At 34.2% G+C, this 22,237-nt stretch overlaps 1 long non-coding RNA gene across 1 annotated transcript in view; it reads left to right on the forward strand.

The window, feature by feature from the left end:
* The window catches only part of LINC02770 (long intergenic non-protein coding RNA 2770), a 278,575-nt gene that overhangs the window by 12,636 nt on the left and 243,702 nt on the right, over nucleotides 1-22,237 (forward strand). Inside the window, exon 2 of the long non-coding RNA NR_186758.1 lies at nucleotides 20,043-20,160. This is a non-coding gene — a long non-coding RNA (long intergenic non-protein coding RNA 2770). The remainder of the gene's footprint in view (nucleotides 1-20,042; nucleotides 20,161-22,237) is intronic.

Here is a 22,237-nt window from a genome sequence, read left to right on the forward strand (position 1 = left end):
GGATTTTGCTTAAGACTGGGTCTTGGGGCGTAAGAGTACATACTTTTTCACCATGAGATCACATAGTAGACCTGTTTAGTGTAACATCATTTCTGAAAGATATCCTTGACTTTAATAGGCCATGCAAGGTCGAACGGGGACCAGGCAGAGTTAGTGCTCTAGTCTTGAATGCAGGTTAAAATAGTTCATTTATGGCCTTTCTGCTGTAGGGGATAGAAGAGAAAATTAACGGAGGCTTTTCTTTTCTCTGCTATTTTTTTCTAGCTCTATTCATTATGTAATAAATTAGATGCTTGTTTCAAAACTCCAGTTAATAAAAATGAACTGAGCATATATCATTCGAGAGAAAAAAACTGGTTGTAGTTGGTATTTGAATTGGGTACTAATTCTAGACAGAGGACTTGGATGGAGGTCACCCAAAATGCACATCAAATAGATTTACCCTTTTAAAATATTGTACATTTTTCTCAAAACAAGAATAGCAGAATAGGTAATGAATTTGAATCAGAAAGAAAATTGATACTTATTTATCTCGTACAAATTTTAAGAATTACTTTATTTCCATTTAATACGTTGCCAAGATTTCTCAAAGAGAGATTCCCATTATCATTATAAAATGGTCGGCAAATAAAGTGTTTCATGGTCAATTAAGTTTGGGAAAAAAAGCATAGAGCATAATCTTCCTGCATCCACACACCACAATCCAAACATTAAATTCTGTATGAATTTCTGCCAATAAAATCACTATATTTAGAAAAAATATAATGTTTTGTTTCCTTCATATAAAAGCCTGTGATCTCTTTTTATTTACCCAACTTTACAAATATATTCATTAAACATAATTTATTGTGGATCAAAAATGTGAAAGCTCAGTGACATAGTTAATAAATAACTTAAAATTTTATTTATTATGCACTTTAGAAGAAAAGCCACTTATAGCTATACTATATTGAAATACTATTTGTTCTAATTGTTGCTTATATATATTTCTTTATAAATTTACTTGCATAAATATAATACTTTATAAGTTACACAGTATCTTTCAATGAAAACTATTGGTAATGCAATATTATTAGGATTCCATAGTTTAAACTGGTCAATTCTTACAACTGTTTTGTTTTCATCACAATAGGATTTGATGCAATCACATATAGTCACATTTTTTCTGAAGAAACCTTTCAAAGTATTTCTACATGACAAAATTAATTTCCCTAGAAAGTAAACAACTAACCCAAATGATATTTTTAACTTTTTAAAAGTCATTAGTGACTTTTCCCCAAAAACAGTATCTCTTTTAAAAGTAATTTTTGATTTAGTGATTCAAATCAAAATAGTAAACACTTTAGTGGATATAGAAGTAGTACTTTATAGTTTGGCACTTTTTGAATTTAAATGCAGTATAAAAATAAGGTTTAAATTAAAGTTTCCAATGATGCATTTAATTTAGCTTTAATAAGATATTTGGAGTGGTGGCTCATGCCTGTAATCCTAGTACTTTGGGAGGCCAAGGCAGGAGGATTGCTTGAGCCCAAGAGTTTGAAACCAGCCTGGTCAACATAGTGAGACCTCATCTCTACTAAAAATACAAAAAAAAAAAAAAAAAAAATTAACCATGTGTGGTGGCTTGTACCTGTAGTCTTAGCTACTCACGAGGCTGAGATGAAAAGATCATTTGAGCCTGGGATGTTGAAGCTGTAATGAACCCTGATCATGCCACTGCACTCTAGCCTGGGTAACAAAACAGGATCCCATCTCTTAAAAAAAAATTCATACCTATGAATAACAAAAAGCATATCTAAATATAATAGCAGCTGTGTTTAAGTACTAGCTAAAAGCATTTGAAGTTTTTAATGATTGCTACAAAAAAATAGAATTTTCTGAACTTTGCAGTCAATATAATGTAGTATAAAGAAGATAGGAATAAAACTGGAGATTTCTGGCTGACTTGACCAGATCACATGTTATCTTATTCTGGAGAAAGAACATCAAATTACTGAAATAAATCATAGATTTCTAAATTCAAGAAAAATAAAAGTATTGGCAAATTTAAAGACAAAGAGTAAAATAGCTACCAATTTCTGATGATTATGAAATTTCTGAAATCCATTCTCATTTCTTTCAAGGTGTTCTCAATACTCCATTCTAGGTCAAAGCAGAGAAAGGCACTAAAGATAGCTTCTCCCTCTCTTTCCTTGGCCTTGCCAGGCCAGACTGTTTTGTAGCAGCAAATGTGCTTCTGCTTTTAAAATAAGCTCCAACCATGCATCTTGAATAGTAAGTTGGGATTAGTGAGATTCTATTGCTAAATGTTCAGCATCACAAATAATTCAGTAACTTGATCACATCGGAAAATACACTATACACTAAATGGCACAATTTTCACATTTCTGTTGAAATGTAAATGCCACAGTTTGATTTTTAGGAAGGTGCATATGACCACAAGAAGCATCAAATTGATTGTCATTAAGCTACACACAAATAGAATTGATAATATAACAGAAAATCATGATCCTCATTCTTGAAGAACACCTACCTTTAGAAAATTCAAGAAAGCTTCATGTCCACACACAGAGACAGACACATACACACACACACACACACACACACACACACACACACACACACACACATGCAAAGATGCAGTTCACCAATATAGGAATGATGCAGTAAGGCTGCTTTGGGGAATTCAGACTTGCAAAGCTTCTTTGATCTGCTACAAGAAGAAATATTTCTGCATAATGTTCTTGAAACATGTCATTTCCTTTTCTGAGCCTATTTTCCTGATCTCTCATTATGCTAAAACTCCCCAAATATTCCACTTTTCAAGTTAGAAAACCTCAATTTATCCTTATGCTTCCAATTTGGATAGTATTGCCTTTTTCGAGCCCTCAAATCCCTTCTGTGTTGCAGAGCACTGGACAATCCCTTAACATAGCAGTGATTACTTAACATTTTAACATCCTGCTTTCTGTTGTGTTTTAGTACTGTGTCTTGAACACTAGACTGTAAACGCTATAAAGGATGGAGTCCTGTATGCTTTGTTAATGTGCATATCAACAATGCCTAGTTTTATACCGAATGAATAAATGACACAATGAATAAATGACTAGAAAGTCCAAGACTAAAGCAACAGCAGGATAATGGCGAGTGAAACCAGTCTATCTAATACTGTTAGCTAACTTCAGAACTAAGATTTCTTATAAAGCTTATAAAACGAAATTTTTTAAAAGGTTAGGATAATCTAGATACTTTTAAAAGCTTTATTAAGTTTTACACACAAAGAGACTAGATTACTCACATTTTATTGGGTAAAAAAATCAACTATTGAAGAGCAATAAGTTCCACTATCTTCACTTATGATAATGAAAATTTACATGTGCCATTTTCACACTGGGCTACATAAAGGTCAAATAATATTTTTAAAATATGATTCAATTAAAAAAATAGGCTAGAAGGACTGCAAATCTACTTGAAATAAATTTTAAAAAGTATATGTGTATACATATCTGTTTATATATGTGGGTGGGGGTATATACATATATATTTTGTGAAAAAATGATTCATATTAAGATACAACTAATGAAAAACTGACTCTGAGTGTTTGAAGAGTTGATATAGAAAATCCTAGTTCATATTCCAATATATTGACCATTGCTCTACATATAATTTCATGGTAATGTTGACTCTGTTTGGTGAATTATAAATCTTGGAAAATGTACTGAATCCTCTTGCTATTCTACCTTCTCCATATTGCTAATCAGTTTGAACTTTAATTTTAATCATGTAATTTACTACTAATTTTCACTTTTTTATCTATGTAGATTTTCTTGTTTTAGTTTGTACTTTTTTAGTTCATTCATATTGTAAAATAATTTTTACAAAAAGAAGCAAAAAGGCCACGTAAATTATTTTTTAAAAGCTTAATTGGCTCTGCTCAGTGGCTCACGCCTGTAATACCAGCACTTTGGGAGGCCAAGGCAGGCCGATCACGAGGTCAGGGGATCCAGACCATCCTGGCTAACAAGGTGAAACCTCGTCTCTACTAAAAATACAAAAAAATTAGCCAGGCATGGTGGCGGGCTCCTGTAGTCCCAGCTGAGGCAAGAGAATTGCATGAACCCGGGAGGCGGAGTTTGCAGTAGCCGAGATCGCGCCACGGCACTTCAGCCTGGGCGACAGAGTGAAACTCTTATCAAAAAAAAACAAAAATAAATACATAAATAAAAAGCTTATTGAATATTAACTTCCCCAAGGTCACCTGAGTTGTGCTAAATAATTTTACATATTTTGCCTATATTTACCATTGACATGGAAAAGATGAAATTATCTTTCCAAATTTTCTGTTTTGAAACTATATTTTTGAAATACTTGAGATCTTTGACACCTCTTTTGACATTTTAAGGGATAGCAAATATCTAGTTATTGGAAATAATTTAAATTTTTTGCAAAGTCACATAAACTTAAGATGGTGAGTAACAAAACAATATAATCTTAAAATCCCTTTCTCAATTGTCTCAATCACATTTTTATACAAATATAAAAACCCTTACCTATTCATAGTTACACACCAGCCACATCAAATATGTTATGAGTATAAATAATTAAATATGATTTTTAACAGACGTCAAAATCTAAAAGCAATAACAAAACAAATATCAAAATGTTTAAGCATTTTGATAACACCAATGTAACAAATGTAACACCATTTGATCATGCATCTCATGTTAATTACTTTTTGTGGTAATTATATATGCACATATATTTTTTAATCTAAAATATAAAAAGCAAACTTCTTTTTTTTAGCAAACATCATATATTTACTCATTTATAATTTTGACTTTCCTTGGCATTTAAAAAGATAAAAGTCTACCTCAGGTAAGCTCTAAGAACTCATTTTAATTATTTTCTTAGGTAAATTGTCCTTCTCTCCATCTTTCATCCATTTAATTCAATCGTGGTTAGTTGAGTTCGGTTGTCTGTGAAACATTTAGCCTAACAACAGGCATTAGGTAGGTGTTTTCAGGCCACTACTGGGGCAAAGCTAACTTTGTCCTTTGTATTAATATTCACACTAAACAGATGAATTTATTTAATGCAGTGATGCCTTAAGGAAGGTTGCTTGCCCTTCATTGTAAAGAAAAGAGAGAGAGAGAAATGAGGAGAATAAAGCAAGCTGAAAATATCTATAACACCATCAGATTAGAAACATCATCACTTAAAGTTATCCAGAACCCACTTTGAAATACTTGGCAGTAGAATATTTGAAGGTAACAAGCTTCTGAAATTTTCTTGAAGTATGTAAAATTTGAATGTAGATTTCTTATTCCTTACTTTTTCTACAGTAATTTCAAAAGCAACAGGTAAAATATTCCTGACCACTCAAAAGATATTTCTATTATATAACATCAACTTAGAATTCTACAGAAGGTAAAATTAAGTTAAATTTTACAGTATTGAAATCATCTAGAACTATAAAAAAGTCATACCCAAAGGACTTCTGAAATAAAAATAGACATAAAGACTATTAAAAATACAAATCCTTTTAACGTCATACGAGAAAGTAGGGTGTTCTATATTTTAAGTCCTCAAAACTAATTTTAAACATGACTGCCACTGTTAGAAATTATGTTCTAGAAATTATGTCTGTGAGCTATGGAGAAACTGGACACTGACAAAATTTTGCTTTCCTAGGTTATCTAGAAAATTATATGTAAAATTATTTTAAGATATTAATTTCTAATACCTGCATTCATTAACAATCAAGTTAATTTAGTACCGCAGATATTTCAGGGGTTGTGACAAACACTGGAGATAAATTGATGAGCAAGAAACTCACAGAATTTAAAAAGAACAGAAAAGAGAAACTTAAGCTAATTATACTTGCAATGAAATAAAACTTTGGGATAATGGAAGTACCTAAACTGGTTTGCAAGTGAGACATGAAGGAGCAATGAATAAATGTAAAGATTTTTGAGAAAAAAATAAGACAGTTATTTTCAGGAACTGAAATGTAATCTGTATGATTGAAGCATAAGAAAAGAAAAAATGCTGTACAGGAGGAAGTTGCAGACTTAAATTGTATTCAGATCATATAGAACTTGCTAAAGTTTGGTGGTTGTTTTAGGTTGCTTGTTTTTTTCATTCTGAGGTTCATGACAAGTCACTGAAGAAGATTTTAGCAGATCATGAGAGTAAGATTTTTTTTTTCTTTTTTTGAGATGGAGTCTCGCTCTGTCACCCAGGCTGCAGTGAAATGGCGCAATCTCCGCTCACTACAAGCTCCGCCTCCCAGGTTCACGCCATTCTCCTGCCTCAGCCTCCCGAGTAGCTGGGACTACAGGCGCCTGCTACAACGCCCAGCTAATTTTTTGTATTTTTAGTAGAGACGGAGTTTCACCGTGTTAGCCAGGAAGGTGTCAATTTCCTGAATTCGTGATCCACCCGCTTCCACCTCCCAAAATGCTGGGATTACAGGCGTGAGCCACCGCTCCCGGCCTTTTTTTTTTTTTTTTTTTTTTTTTTTTTTTTTTTTTTTTTTGAGATGAAATCCTGCTCTGTCGCCCAGGCTGGACTGCTGTGTTGGGATCTTGGCTCACTGCAACCCTCGCCTTCTGGGTTCCAGCGATTCTCCTGTCTCAGCCTCTCGAGTAGCTGGGACTACAGGCACGTGCCACCACGCCCAGCGAATTTTTGTATTTTTAGTAGAGACGGGGTTTCACCATGTTGGCCAGGGAGATCTTGAACTCCTGACCTCGTGATCCACCTGCCTTGGCCTCCCAAAGTGCAAGGATTACAGGTGTGAGCCACCGCACCCAGCCGATAGTAAGATTTATGTTTAATCTCTAGATCTCTGTGGTATAGGAACTAGGGTAAAAGGAAGACGGCCAAGACCAGCTAGAATACATTGATTTTTTAGTAATCCAGGGAATTGATAATATCTTGGAGAAATCAAAAGTATCAAGACATAGGAAGTAGTATTGGTAGATTCGTGGTTTGGATAGATTGGTGATACGGTTTTGCTCTGTGTCCTCACCCAAATCTCATCTCAAATTATAATTTTCATAATCCCCATGAGTCGAAGGAGGAGCCCAGCAGGAGGTGATTGGATCATGGGGGCGGTTTCCTCTATGCTGTTCTTGTGGTAGTGAGTGAGTTCTCATGAGATCTGATGGTTTTATAAAGGGCTCTTCACGCTTCGCTTTTCACTTTTGTCTCTCCTGCCACCATGTGGAGAAGGTCCTTGTTTCCCCCTTCACCTTCAGCCATGATAGCAAGTTCTGGTGATATCTGCTTATAGGTGTTTTTCAAAAGCATGGATGTGTATGAGAAAACCCATAAGGGGAATGTAGTGTGAGAACAAAGGAGAAATATATGGGGCTCAAAGAAAAAAAGAAAGAAAAAGAAAAACAGCACAACTAACAGAGAGAAAATTAACAGAAACCCTGTAAATGAGAAAAGCTAAATAGCTTTAGAGTTTAAAGTAGAAAAAGAATTAGTGATGCTTTTAAATCCAAGAAAGGAAAGTTCCAAGAAAACAGTCAATTGTGTCATTGTGATAGATTGTTTGCAAAAATGTCTGCAATTATTCCCCTTTTTGGATCCAGAATCCTTTCCCATATAATTTTTGCAGCTTCTCCCATCAAGGGGTGGATTATTTTCTTTCATTCCTTGAACGTGAGCTAAATTTGTGACTTGCTTGACTAATAGAATACAGAGAAAACAACACCATGACATTTCTAAGACCAGACTTCAAGAAGCTGCGCTCCTTTCCTTCCTTCCTTCTCTTTTGCCTCCACCATAAGAACAAGCCCAACCAACCCAACTCCAAATATTTGAGAGATTCTAAGTTGTAACTGACCATAAATATTTGTAAATGAATGTTTGGATTAATCATAAACAAGAAGAACCATCCAGTTGACATGAAAATGTGTGAGAAGTAATAAATAATTGCTTCTCTGCCTTCGGTAACAGATACAATATTGTATTTTATTGAGCTTCAGGATGATGAGAAAGAAAACTGGCCATTTAAAATATATTTTTTGGTATTTTTGCTAACATACAAAAAGAATATACTCCTGCTAACAAAGAAGAGATTACTTCTGTAAATTTCAGCTTTTTCCACATACCTGAGTAACATCCAAATGAAAATGTCAAATATGAAGTGTGATATATGTTCTAGAACCTGCAGGATAGCTCTGGTGATATCTGCTTATAGGTGTTTTGCAAAAGCACGGATGTGGATGAGAAAATCTATAAGGAGAATGTGGTGTGAGAAAAATGTAATGTTATTCATTATCATTTAATTACAGTTATATAAATGGAAGTCAGACTGTAATAGATTGGGATGAAAATGGGGGTTGGATAAATGAATATAGGACAAAGCCAGGGCTTTTGAAGCATTCTTTAGGAAAAAAAACTTGAATCAGTGGAGATTTAGGAAGGATTTCCCAGCAATAAGAGTTCACTCTGCCAGGCGCGGTGGCTCACACCTGTCATCCCAGCACTTTGGGAGGCCAAAGCGGGCGGAACATGAGGTCAGGAGATCAAGACCATCCTGGCTAACACGGTGAAACCCCATCTCTACTAAAAAATACAAAAGATTAGCCAGGCGTGGTGGTGGGCGCCTGTAGTACCAGCTACTCGGGAGGCTGAGGCAGGAGAATGGCGTGAACCTGGAGCTTGTAGTGAGCTGAGATCACGCCACTGCACTCCAGCCTGGGCCACAGAGTGAGACTCCATCGCAAAAAAAAAAAAAAAAAAGAGTTCACTCTAAGCTGTTTGCAGAGACTCTAGAACTACCCCTATTGATGGATGGCAGATGCTAGTTTGGATGAGAGAAATGTAGTTTTATTTAGCTGATTAATGAAAATATAACCTGCAAGTGCAAGATGAAAGGAGAAGTTATTCACAAAGAATGGGTGCAGAGGGAGATCTTAGCTTAAAGAAAGGGAGAAAGGTAGATGACTTAAAATATTCATATAGTTATCAATAATTAAAAAACAAAATCATGATTCAGAGCAGAATAACTAGGTCATGGGATAAATCAGTTAACAAATCCTTGTGCAAATATTATGAAACAGGTACTCACTTAATCCTCTTAACAAGATGAGGAAATTGAGACCCAATTATGTCAGTTATCTTTTCAAAGTTTGTACAACTAAGCAAAAGCTAGGATAACAACATGTAGAGTTCCTCTTACTCAAAATTCATTGGCAAGTTTGAAACTGTAATCTATTTCTATCCAAGAGGTATATCACCAATGCTTGTTATTATAAAGTTTTTACTAAAACCGAGGAGTTCCAGAATTGAGTTCACTAATCAATGTTACTTCTCAACATTTTTTTCATATTATAAGAAACAATTTTAAGTGAATGTCCATAATTTTAACATGCAGCGGGTCTGAATAACATTAATGAAATATATGTTGAAGTTTATGTATGTTTGTAATAGTAATTATACTTACATTCAGTGGGAATATGGTTATTCATATTTAATTCCAACTCAATTTAAAATTGAATTTCTTTGCCTAACTTACAACAACTTACAACATTTTCTCAATTAACTTTTCAAAGCTGTACATATTGGAAATGCCTTTCTTTTCTTTTCTGTCATGAGAGATTTTAGCTCTCATTGTATTTAGCTGACAGAACCAAAACTTTGCATGAGACTGCCACCCTGATTAGGGGTGAAGTGACACTTCAGACTAGGGAGAAGATGACACTGATGTTTTCCTTCTATTTGCATTTTATTCAGAAAATCTCAGGAGAGAGAAAAGACAACTATGATTAAGGAAAGGGTTCCGAGTGATTGAATAGTTAGAATAAGTTTATTCAACTCCTCCTCCAGAGACATAAGTTAGGTCATGAACCTTATTCATAAAGTAAAAAAGAGTACACGTTGTGCACCCTTAATGTGCAAGAGCAGTTGTTGTTTATCTTAATAATGAGACTAGCTGAAAGGCCAAAAAGAGGCTGTAGGTTAGGCAACATTATGTATCATTCACTCACTCCTTCTCAAATGCAATTGTGTAGGGCAAAATGGGTATCGAATTCTATACATGTACCTCAGAACTTAAAGTAGAATAATAAAAAAATTAATGCAAACTTTACTTTGTAGGAAACATTACTTTGAATAGAAAAATAAATATGTAATTAATAGATTTATCAAAAATATGAGTATAGAATTTTTTAGTCTTGTTTTAATGTGGAAATAGAAAGTGATTGATTTTCAGAGAAAATATTTTGGGCCAAAAGCAAAGCATAGAGTATTGCATAACAAATACAAATATTAAATAATGAAATAAGAAAACAATGTTCAAAAAGAAATTAAAGTGTATGTATTACAAAGTTTTCTTTAACAATAATCACTGGATTCTTCTGCTTATTAATCTCATATAGTTATTATGCAATGTAAAATTTTGTTTATTTCTTTAAAGGAAGCTGGGGTATTAGAAATTTCAGGAAGCACTCTCTTTTAATATGTCTGTTCCCATAGGGGTGATGCTTCTCAAAATCATTATAATTTCCTAATTGCTTTGTTTTATTACATTTTTAGTGCCTGGTATTTTCATATACTTTCATTGCTGTCATTTAGCAAAATTTTGTCTTAGAGATTTCATTTCTTTTATCTCACTAATTTATATAAGTAACTGAAAATAGATTATAGGAGAATAGTATTTTTAAGTATTGGTGGGTGTTTTATGGTAAAGAACCCAATGTGTGTATATGTGACACCTCTATCTGGAATATATAATGCATAACACCTCTGAGAATTATTTCATTAAGGAATCCCATTTAATTTGCTTAATCAATTTTTTCAAAATATTTAATCATGAAACACTCCACCTCCATCTCCTCCACTGCCGCAGGTTACCGATTAACGTCTTGCTGAAGGTTATATATCATGATATCATCACGGCGAAAAACCTAGTTAAAAGTAGTCTCACTTCTAGAAATAATAGCTTGTAATGACAAGAATACTTCAAAATTCAGTAAATAGGAAAGGAATTTATAATTATTGAGCCCCTGCTATGTGCCAGATGCTGTGATGAGCACATTTTATGCTATCATAATTAAGAAAAGGATGCTTTAAAAATCAATTCTGGCTTAGAATACATCAAGTAGGAAAGAGTGCTGCTCCCATTTATATAACAAAAGAAAACCTGGAAGAACTGGAAACAACTTTTCTTAAGCCTATTAGAGAACTGAGGTCACAGGACAAACTGCTGACCCAAAATATGGAGTGATGCTTATAACTGTAGGTAGTAATAGGATCAGAGCATTTACTTACCTGGATAATACATCGTGAAATGCTATAAAAGCCAACAAGTGCTGCCAAAGACATATTATGGACTAGTGTACAAATGTGAAGCATCAGGGGCTGTAGATTGCGGGAGGGGCTTTCACACTATCTGGCAGGGGCTTACTTCAGGACCTCTTCTAGGTGCTTACATGAAAGATGACACAGATTTCTGGGAATGCTTTCCCAAGGTGCTAGCCACGGGAAAGGAACGTTAGCCACTGACTAAATCCCCCCAGACCTATCTCTGTGATTCCTCTGAAATAATTTGAAGGGAGAAGGACAATAAAAAAAATGTACTTCATAAGCTCTTGTAGAAATTCATTGTATCTGATGGAGAAAAACTGCAAAATAAGTAAGTAAACAAATAAACTTGTTCTCTGCTCTATGAGAGGAGCAGAATCTCCATCTCCAGGAAAAGAACAAGGCCAGCATTGCATCTGGAGGAGAGGTGGAAAGGTTGTGAAGGGCATGGCCCTGAGATCTAGGCTCACAGCCAGCCAAAAACTAAGACTTAATCAGATCACCAGAGAACACTCAGACCCACCCCCTCACTACCACACTGATAAGCATCATGTGGAATACATCTGGCAGGGCTGCAAAATACATATCCTTGGAAACAGTGTAAAGTGAAGACCACAAGAAAAGTGAGAAGGCTCCAGGCCAACTGGGATTAGACTCTGGGACAAACTCCTGAAAAATTAGTAATACTGTAAACCCAAAGTGTAATCAGGGGAATAGAGGCCTCTTAGAAAAACCACAGCTATAAAATCTTTAAACACAGAACAACTTCTGGCTAACAAAATCCCTCACACCAAAGGCCTTGCAAAAGGTAAAGAATCTGTGAATTTGAAGATATGTTCATAGAAGTTGACCAAACTGAAATACAAATAGAAAAAGAAATCACAAACACACCCACCCACCCACGCGCGCGCACACACACACACACACACACACACACACACACAGAAACACTGTTGCTTTTGTACTACTCTGGCTAACCTGCTGAGGAAACTGTCAGACAAATCCAGAACTGAAATATTCGGGAAGAAAACTAATTTGGGCTTTTGAAAAATATCATGTTGGGGAACTGTTTTAGATGGATGAACAACAGATTAAATAACCAAATGCAATAAATAAACTTTGATGGTTGCATCCTGTTAGAAAGTTTAGAGTGAGAGAAAGAGAGAGAAAGAAAGAAGAAAGAAGCTTGATGAAGTTAACCAAACGCGATATGGGTATTGTATAATCTTAAAACTTTTCTGTAAGGTTGATAATTCTTTAATATAAAGAGAAAGTGATTTATTTTATTTGCCTGTCCTTCTTCCTATACAACTTTTAGCACTATGTCAGTCTCATAGGATATCATAAATTATTGCTAAATGAATAAAGGAATTTTTGCATGAATAATATACAATACAGTTTTCTCTTGGGATCCCGTTCTAAAGGAGAAAAAATGTTATATTGGATCATTCTTTTTCTATGCTGTCAAAAAATGACAGCATAATTTTAGAGAATACTTTTTCAATTAATGCCCAGATACGTCAAAATTTCAAAAACTCGGCATCATCTCAAATGACATAAACAAACATGTATTTTGTGGTTTTTAAGTCCAGTCACCATTAATAATTCCTACCTTTCTTTTCAGGTTTTCAGTAAAAGTGGGTAATAATTAGCTGGTAATAATATTCAGGATATTTGTATATATACAATGTATGTGGAATTAATTGGAATTAAACCATTGAACAATGGATTAATTAATCCAGATTACAACTAAGGAGGCATTATTTTCAGTAAAATTTATACATCGAAAAAGAATGTAAATAATTATATACATTTATCCTCTGGAAATTTAAACTAGTATTTTAAAGAACCTGGATAGGTTTAGGTATTGGTTGGAGGCAAGCACAAACCAGAAGTGGAGAAGGAGGGAGGACAAATGTGAACATGTTGAGTAGGAGGTGAAGGAGAGTGGGTGGAACCTAAAAGTGAGAAACAGAATAAAATACTGTCAAAAGAGGAAAATAGATTTGTGTCTATTTTCCCCAGAATATTCTTGTTCAAAGAAAGCCCCTTTAACTATAATTATACTACTAGGATACTTACTACTTTCTAGAAAGTTATAAGAATTTTCAAAATGGTTGTGTAACTTCACTGTAAGAGATGAGACAATTTCAGTAAGCTTGAGTAGACGCTACTCATTACACATATATTTTACAAAGTTCAGCTTCTTATGTATAATTTCGTGCATAGTAGAAAGGCTCCAATATTTGTTATTCATTTTTAAGTATGACTTTTTATTCCTTTTCTTAAACTTTTTGTCCAGCCTTGTCCATATCCCTTTTTTAAAATTTTATTTATTTTTATTAATTGTGCATGTTTTGATTTTTCTGTTGGATTTTCATGCAATTAATCAGCTCTGATATCAATCAACCAGTTACACATTAATATGTAATTCCATATTATGTATAAATCTGACAGAAGGGTTACATGGTTGGGGTAATCAAACTTTCTCAGTGTATTGAAATGAAATGGAATAGAATATAATTTGTGTATATACATATTCATTGTGAGGAATTATTGCAATTAAATACTGATACAGTTTGTCTGTGTCCCTACCCAAATCTCATCTTGAATTGTAGTTCCCATAATCCCCTGTGTTGTGGGAGGAACCTCATGGGAGGTGATTAGTTAGTGAGAACAGCATAGTTCCCCTATGCTGTTCTTATGATAGTAAGTGAGTTCTCATGAGATCTGGTGGTTTTATAAGGGGCTTTTCCCCACTTTACTCTGCACTTCTCTTTCCTGCTGTGATGTGAAGAAGGACATGTTTGCCGCCCCTTTTTCCATGACTGTACGTTTCCTGAGGCCTTCCCAGACATGTGGAACTGTGAGTCAATTAAACCTCTTTCTTTCATTAATTACCCAGTCTCAGGCAGTTCTTTACAGCAGTGTGAGAACAGACTAATACAAATACCATTTATTTTGAAATGATATTTTAATGATACCAATACCAACACAGTAAGCATGTTTATTTTACATTTTTTTTTACAATTTGGAAGCAGTTAATTTTATTTGAGTTTTTATTTGTGCCAACATCCTCATAACACCTTATAAATACATGTGCTCTACCTGCAGTTTTTAATGAGGACTGATTCTTTTCACAGCAATCACCTCAGAACATCAGTCCAAGGGATTGTATTTGGGACACCAAGCTGTTAAATTTTCCCATCATTTATATGTCTTTTTTAAAGCACTGCCTGTGGCTTTACTGTTCGTTATTAAAAGGAAAGCACTCTCAGAATTTCAATTGGTTTCTTCTGCCTGAATACCAATTAAAACCTGTTTAATATAAAAATGGAAATGTACTTCAATTCATCACTTTTTTTAATAAAAGAATGTCTTGGTTCTAATAAGTCTATTTTTATAAATTAAAATATTAGAGTATTCTTCAACTGTGCGGAGTTATATCTGGTTAGGAGGAAAAAATATTAGTCAAGCTATAGAAATTAGCTGTCCAACCAAGAAAGAATTCAGCAGCAAATCCACCCTTTGTTCTAATTAGAATTGTGTAAGGTGGCAGTGAGTCATGAACTTGAGTCTAAAGACACTGAGAAAATGCATTAGCACGTGATTCTGTGTTAAAAAGGGGAGGTAACAGGAAGGGCCTTGATCAGGAGTTCCATTGAAACTCATTAAAATGTGGCAACTAAAAAATAAAGTAATAAAATAACAATAAAATAGTTTTAGAAAAATGCTATTACCTTTGCCTTTGAAGGGTAGATCAGGATGTTTTTAGGAAAATTGAAAAATAATAGTGCCTAGCTTGTATAGTTCAACTTGAAAAAATTACTGAAAATCTACTTAATGTAATATAAAAAAATGAAAAACATATCCATGTATAATTTTTTAACAAAATTATATATCTGGTTTAATAAAAATGATATAATTGTGTTATATGTGTGGAGAAGATATAAACAAGTTTTGAAAAACCTCAAAAACAGCAATAAATAGCTCTTCTATTTTAAATTTTCTAGATTCAAAAACTCCTAAAATCATTCTATATAAAGGTTAAATTTTCTAAAAATAAGAAAATGACTATGTAATTCATATATAAATAAGCATAACTTACAGCAAAATCCATAAATGTAAAAAGCAAAGACTTTTTTTCTCAGTGCCTGTAATTATTGAACTTTGGTGAAAAATAGATGTTATAGATATCAAAAAAACAAACTATTATTTGGAAAAATCTTTTAAACACTACAATATCTAGATATTAACTTAAGCAAATTGATAGCACTGTTTGTTGAGATCAGAAGTTTTGGGAGAGAAACAGGTTTTGGAGCAGGTTTGAGGGGCATGAATATTTTGTTTTAAACATGTTACATCTGATTGCCCTTTAAACATGAAATAGAAGACCTGTAATAGGCTGATGGATTTAAACTATAGAGCTCTGAGGAGGGGTCAGGTTTGAAGGCACCTGTGTGGGACTTAACACTAGGTACCTGGAATCAAAAGCTATGAGACTGGACTCCATTTTCTAGTAGAGTCAAAGAATAGATACGATAAGAACAGATAAGAAAATTGTGGCTGAGGGATGAGCTCAGGGATATTCCATCATTTGTTAGGAAGTGGAGGAAGAGCCAGCAAAAGACACAGAATAAAGTAGAAAAGAATATAACTATAAGGAAATAAAGACATGAAAAGGCTTTAATAAAGAAGACAGTTAAATTTGTTAACTGCTAAGATTTATGGTAAGGACAAAATAACAGAATCTTGCATTTGAACATACAATGGTGGTGGCTTGACAAGAAGAAACTTTGCAGAGTTATGAGTACTGAAGCCAAACAGGAATGAGATGAAGAGAGAAAGGTTAGTAAAAAAATTGAGACCGTAGCTGCACTAAACTCATTAGAAGTCAGTTGCTTTGAAGGACTGTAGAAAAAAACGACAATGGCTGAAGGGTAATTTGAGATAAATTGAACATTATTTAGATATAAGATATGAAAGTAGGTTTCTGTGCTAACAAGAATGTTCCAAGTCCAAAGAGGACAACTTATGGTATTAAAAAAAAGAGTGAGAGAATTAATAAACACAGAAGCAAAGCCCTCTTATTAGAAAATATTTTAGAGCCATATAAATGTGGATGATATTCTGTAAAGATAATTATAACACTTATACAAATGGTCCTAGCTTTGGTGCAAAAAAAATAACTAGGTTCAATTGGAATAGCATGGACTTAGACCATTAGGTCTCAGGAGCGAAGTCTTGCTATTGAAAACCAGCACAAAGACCTACGACTAGCGTGGTCTGGATAGATGGCTCTGCAGCTAATCCACTAATAACTTCATCAAAAATTTAGGGAAAATTTGTAATAAACTACACTCCTTTCATTGTACTTTGTGTTCTTTATATGCTACTTGGTAATCTAGATGTGATGAATTCCAGCATACTTATTCCGGAAGGATGTCATTATTTATTATTTTGCTAATTTTTTAAAATGAATCACAAGAAAATTATTCCTTTGGGAAATTTTAAGGAAAGGTGCATGAATTTGTAGTCACAATTTCTTTGTTGTTGGTGTTTTTCTTGGTTTCGAAAGTCTCAAGTACCTCTGTTGCCTCGTTTAAAGTTTCTCTTCCTGTGTGTAGTTTATCAGTTAAAATATGATCACAATGCTTGCTAGAGAGTCCAACAATTCTTTTAAAAACTGGAGGCTGAGCAGGGTGGATCACTTGAGCTCAGGAGTTCAAGACCAGCCTGGGCAACATGGTGAAACTCAATCTCTACAAAGAAAAACAAAACAAAACAAAAATCAGCTGGGTACGGTGGCCTGCACGCATAGTCCCAGCTACTCCAGAGGCGGAGGTGAACGGATCAACTGTGCATGGGAGGTCGAGGATGCAGTGAGCAAATGCACCACTGCACTCCAGCCTGGGTGACACAGTGAGACACTATCTCAAAAAAAAAAAAAAAAAAAAAGTTCCTGGATATTTGAACTCAATGCAGACACTTGTTTCATCTTTTACCCATCAATTCCTTTTGTGGTCCATAGTGTTTATCTTCTGCAACTAAACTTCTTTCTGTATCATCCTCCTCCACATAGCAACCTGAACCCGGACATCTCTCTGATGTATAACATACTTCCTAGAGATATTTGTTGGGATAGTCTTGAAAGTGAACACGTAGGAAAATAAAAGCATAATACATGAACACGTTTTATTTTTGCTGTTCACTGAGTCTTATTTTCCTGTCTTTGTTTGACATTTTGGAAGATGCCATGAGTTTTCTTATTAAAAGCATCTTATTTTTCAAGGATTAAGAATTCAAATCCAGCTTAATAAAATTTCAAGCCTTACTGACAACACCAAATGCTGGCCAACAGGAGCTCTTACTGCTGGTGGGAATGCAAAATAGTACGTACCCTCTTTGGGAGACAGCTGGAAGTTTCTCACAAAACTAAACATACTCTTATCATACAATGCACAAGTTGTAATCCTTGGTATTTACTCAAATAAATGGAAAACTTATGTTTACACAAAAATCTGTTTTTAGCAGCTTTTATTCATACTTGTCAAATTACAGAGGCAGTCCTTTGGTAAGTGAATGGATGAATAAACTCTGGTGCATCCGGACAATAGAATATTATTCAGCACTAAAAATTAATGAGCTATCAAGCCACGAAAAGACATGAAGAAAACTTAAATGCTATGATTCAGTGAAATAAGTCCATTTGAATGAGCTATACACTGTGTGATTCGAACTGTATGACATTCTTAAGCAAAGCTATGGGAGAGTAAAAAGATCAGTGTTTGCTAGGGACTAGGGATATGAAGGGATGAATAGGCGCAGAGGATTATTAGAGCAATGAAATTACAGTAGTCCTTCTTTATCTATGATTTTGCTTTCTACTGTTTCAGATACTCATGATCAACTACAGTCCAAAATTATCAAAAGAAATTCCAGTAATAAGCAATTCATGAATTTTAAATGACGTATCAGTTCAGAGTAGCATGATGAAATCTCATGTCCTCGCACTTCATCCTGCCCAGAACATGAGTCCTCCCTTTGTCCAGAGTATCCACACTGTGTATGCTGCTTGCCTGTGGAACTCTTCGTAGCCTTCTCAGTTATCAGATGGACTGTCATGTTATCACCAGGTTTGGGTTCAAGTAACCCTATTTTACTTAATAATGGCCCCAAAGCACAGCAGCACTGTTCCTTCTTTATAAATTAAACTTTATCATGGATATATATGTGCATAATAAAACACAGCATACATAGGTTTATACATAGTACACATAACTGTGGTTTTAGGCATTCACTTGTGGTCTTGGAATGTACCTCGTGTGAATAAGGGGGGGCTATGCTACTCTGACACTAGAATGGTGAATATGTATCATTGTATGTTTGTGAAACCCACAGAATGTACACCACCAAGAGTGAACCCTAATGTAAACTATGAACTTTGGATAATAAGGATGTTTCAATGTAGGTTTATCAGTTGCAACAAGTGTACCACTCTGGTATGAAATTTTGATAATGGGTGAGGCTGTAGGGAGTGGGGCAGTGTGTGTATGAAATTATTGTACTATAAATGCTGATAAAACAGAAAAACAATTTTAAAGAGGCTTGTTTGTCTCATGGTTATCTCTCTTTCCTTATAAAGACGGGGTCTCATTATGTTGTCCAGGCTGGTCTGACCTCAAACTCCTGGACCCAAGCGATCCTCCTGCCTCAGCCTCCCAAAGTGCTGGTATTACAGGACTGAGCCGTATCACCCAGCCCAGAAAAACATTTTAATTAAACTGTTAGATAATTTAAAATTCACAAGCTGTTGTCAGAAATAACCAAGATTCTATGCATCTCCTACTCAGTTTTTTTTCTAATGGTAATCTTTTAAAACTGTAGTTCTATATTACAACCAGGATATTGACATTTATTAACCAAAATACAAAACATTTGCATCATAAGTATTATTTATAGATTGTTAAAGGTTAGGAAATTTTGTCTTAAGTGAGATTAGATGGAAGTTCTTTCTATGGTATTTTTAAGGATGTCACCTGCCCTGTTAGAGCCACGCCCACTCCTCTCCCATGCCTACCACCTCCTTAACCCCTCACAACTATGAATCTATTATTTATTCTATTATTTCATAATTTCAAGAATGTTAATGTATATAGATTCATATAGCATGTAGCCTTTTGAGACTGACTTATTTCATTCAGCATAATGCCCTTGAGATCTATTTAGGTTGTTGTGTGTATCAGTCATCATTCTTTTTGTTGTGGAGTAGTATTCCATGGTATAGATGTACTAGTTGGTTTAGCCATTCACCTGTTGGAGAACATTTGGGTTGTTTCCAGTTTGATGCTGTTAAGAATAAAGCTATTATAAATACCAAAAAATTTTAAGCCTTTACCCAATTTAAAAATTCTTGTCCCGTAGCTCAGGTCCAATCTGGAAGCAGAAACTTACAGTGAGAAGGTGCTACAGTCAATTTGCATTGACTTTGTAGCTCCGGTTCCTCTTTCACTTAGGAGCCAGGAATCCTGGGTGGTGGCAATTAAAGAGGGGATAATAGAGATTGAAGGACACATTCTTACAGGTCACATATTCTTTATAATCTGCTTTTGTATATTCTGCAGGGCAAACGCTGGGTTTCCTCAGGGTAGAGGAAACTCAAATTCTTCAGAAAATTTCCAAGCTGAAGTCTACAACTTGAATTTTTTTTTTTATTTCAGAGATTTACTCCCCAGGTACTTTTCTTCAGACAGTACATCTGACACAGATCATCTCTGTGAGGGCCAAATTTTCATGGCATGCTGCTTTATGAGTAGTGTCCTTTCATGTTGATTTAAGGTCAGTTATCTATTGTTTGCTTTGCAACATGGGGAAAATTCATTTTTTTCTACAAGACATTGGAAATAGTTGTCCATGTGCTAAAACTCTCTCTTCCTGTGTTTGTTAATAGAAGTAGCTATACCTAGTCAGCCTGACTTTTTTTAATGAAAGATAGCACAAAACGCTGTGCACACCCAGCTCCAGAGACACATGTTAAGTCCTCCAAGTGATTCTTTGAAAGTCAACTCACCATCAGTCAGCCCGAGTTAGGCAGAAGAACACCCACTATGAAGAAACACAGAGAATTCTAACAACTTGCTTCAAAGGAATTCTCTATCAAAGATTTATTATTTTGGTCCCCTACTTATCTTACACACAGAATGGTTTAAGTGATAGGCTACTGTTAACAGAAATAGATTTGTGAAACCCAATTTACAAGTCCTGAATCGATCATCTGGAATGTAGGATGCAGTTGTTGGCAACTATTATCCCCACTTTTGGTGCCTCAAAGCTTTAAAAAAGTAAAGTTTTATTTAACAAACTATTTCATTAACATGCCTGATTTTCCTTTTTCACCATATACACTAAAAGTTATAGCTAAATATCATTCTTCAGAATATAGCACCTTGTCCAGAAGGAGAGATTAGAAATTTGCTATCTTATACACTGCATTACATACAGTTTGTTCAATGTTTAAAAAATATTTCTCTCTTACTGATTTTCTCCTTATATAATTGATTGGTAAAATGTTATTTTGTTCATATTTACCTTTGGTTAAGTTATAATCTAAAATAAAAAATTGTATATATGTTTTGTCATGCTGACGATGCTACTAAAAACTCACAAATGGATTAGTGATAAAATTGACTTAATTTCCATACACAAAAAGGTAAAATTGATATAATCATTATTTACATATATGTGTATACTTTTTATATATTTAAATAGTAGAAGAATATAGGTATGGATACTCAAATAATTGTTGTATTTAATTTCTTTTTCTGAACACTTACGTGATAGTTGAGAGCTCATTTAAAAAATATGATAATCTACTGTCTGAATTTGCTGTCTCAAAATTTGAGCTATTCTGTTGAAATCTTAGGAATTCACAGTAACCTAAGGTATTCTTATGTGAAATATAAAAATCTAAAAAAAAGGTATTTAAATGTCAATAGATGAGACACAAGTGTTAGTGTTTTCTAATGATAGAGTTTTTCTTTATTTTAATAGAGTATCGAATGAAGTACAATTGCTTTATTTTCTAGGCTATGGTCATGCCACAGATAATTTTTTGTGTAAGAGAAAGTAGATAGAATTTGACCATTGCTTTCAACCATATGTAGTAACATACAGCATATACATGTGTACTTGTATATGTATGTACACACACAAAATATATGGTCATACAAGGTCAGCCTCTAGCTATCCTACTGCCAGGGCCTTCCAGTGTGCTGGAATTACAGACGCGAGCCACTACATCTGGACTCTGCATCTAAATGTCATCTGTGACATTTTAATGATACTTCAGATTATCCATGCTTTTTTAACATATAAATTTCTGAATAAAATAGTGAATCCTATAGTAGATGAATCATCTAAATCCCAAATTATCATAAATAGATATTATGCAATTAAAGGTTAACTTGCTTACAGAATAATCAAGTGGTGAAAGTAAAATGAATTTGGCTATGTAACTGAATTTCCAAAAAGGAGCTATTCTGTTGAAATCTCATGAATTCACAGTAACCTAAGGTATTTTTTCTGTGAAATATAAAAATCTAAAAAAAGGTAATTAAATGTCAGTAGATGAGACACCAAATGTTAGTGTTTTCTAATGACAGAGTTTTTTTAAAAAAATTAATACAATATCAAATGAAGTACAATTGCTTTCTTTTCTAGGTTATGTCCATGCTACAGATAATTTGTGGGTGTGTGAGAAAGTAGATAGAATTTGACCATTGTTTTCAACCATAGGTAGTAATATTAAGCCGTTTTAAAATAGTAAGAAATGAATTTTTGAGATCATGGAAGTTAATTTGGAAAAAGTGACGGTATGTCTTTTAAAACAGATACATTTGTTCAGATCATAAATAAC

The sequence above is a fragment of the Homo sapiens genome, chromosome 1 (assembly GCF_000001405.40).
Source record: "Homo sapiens chromosome 1, GRCh38.p14 Primary Assembly".
Classification (NCBI taxonomy): Eukaryota; Metazoa; Chordata; class Mammalia; order Primates; family Hominidae; genus Homo; species Homo sapiens.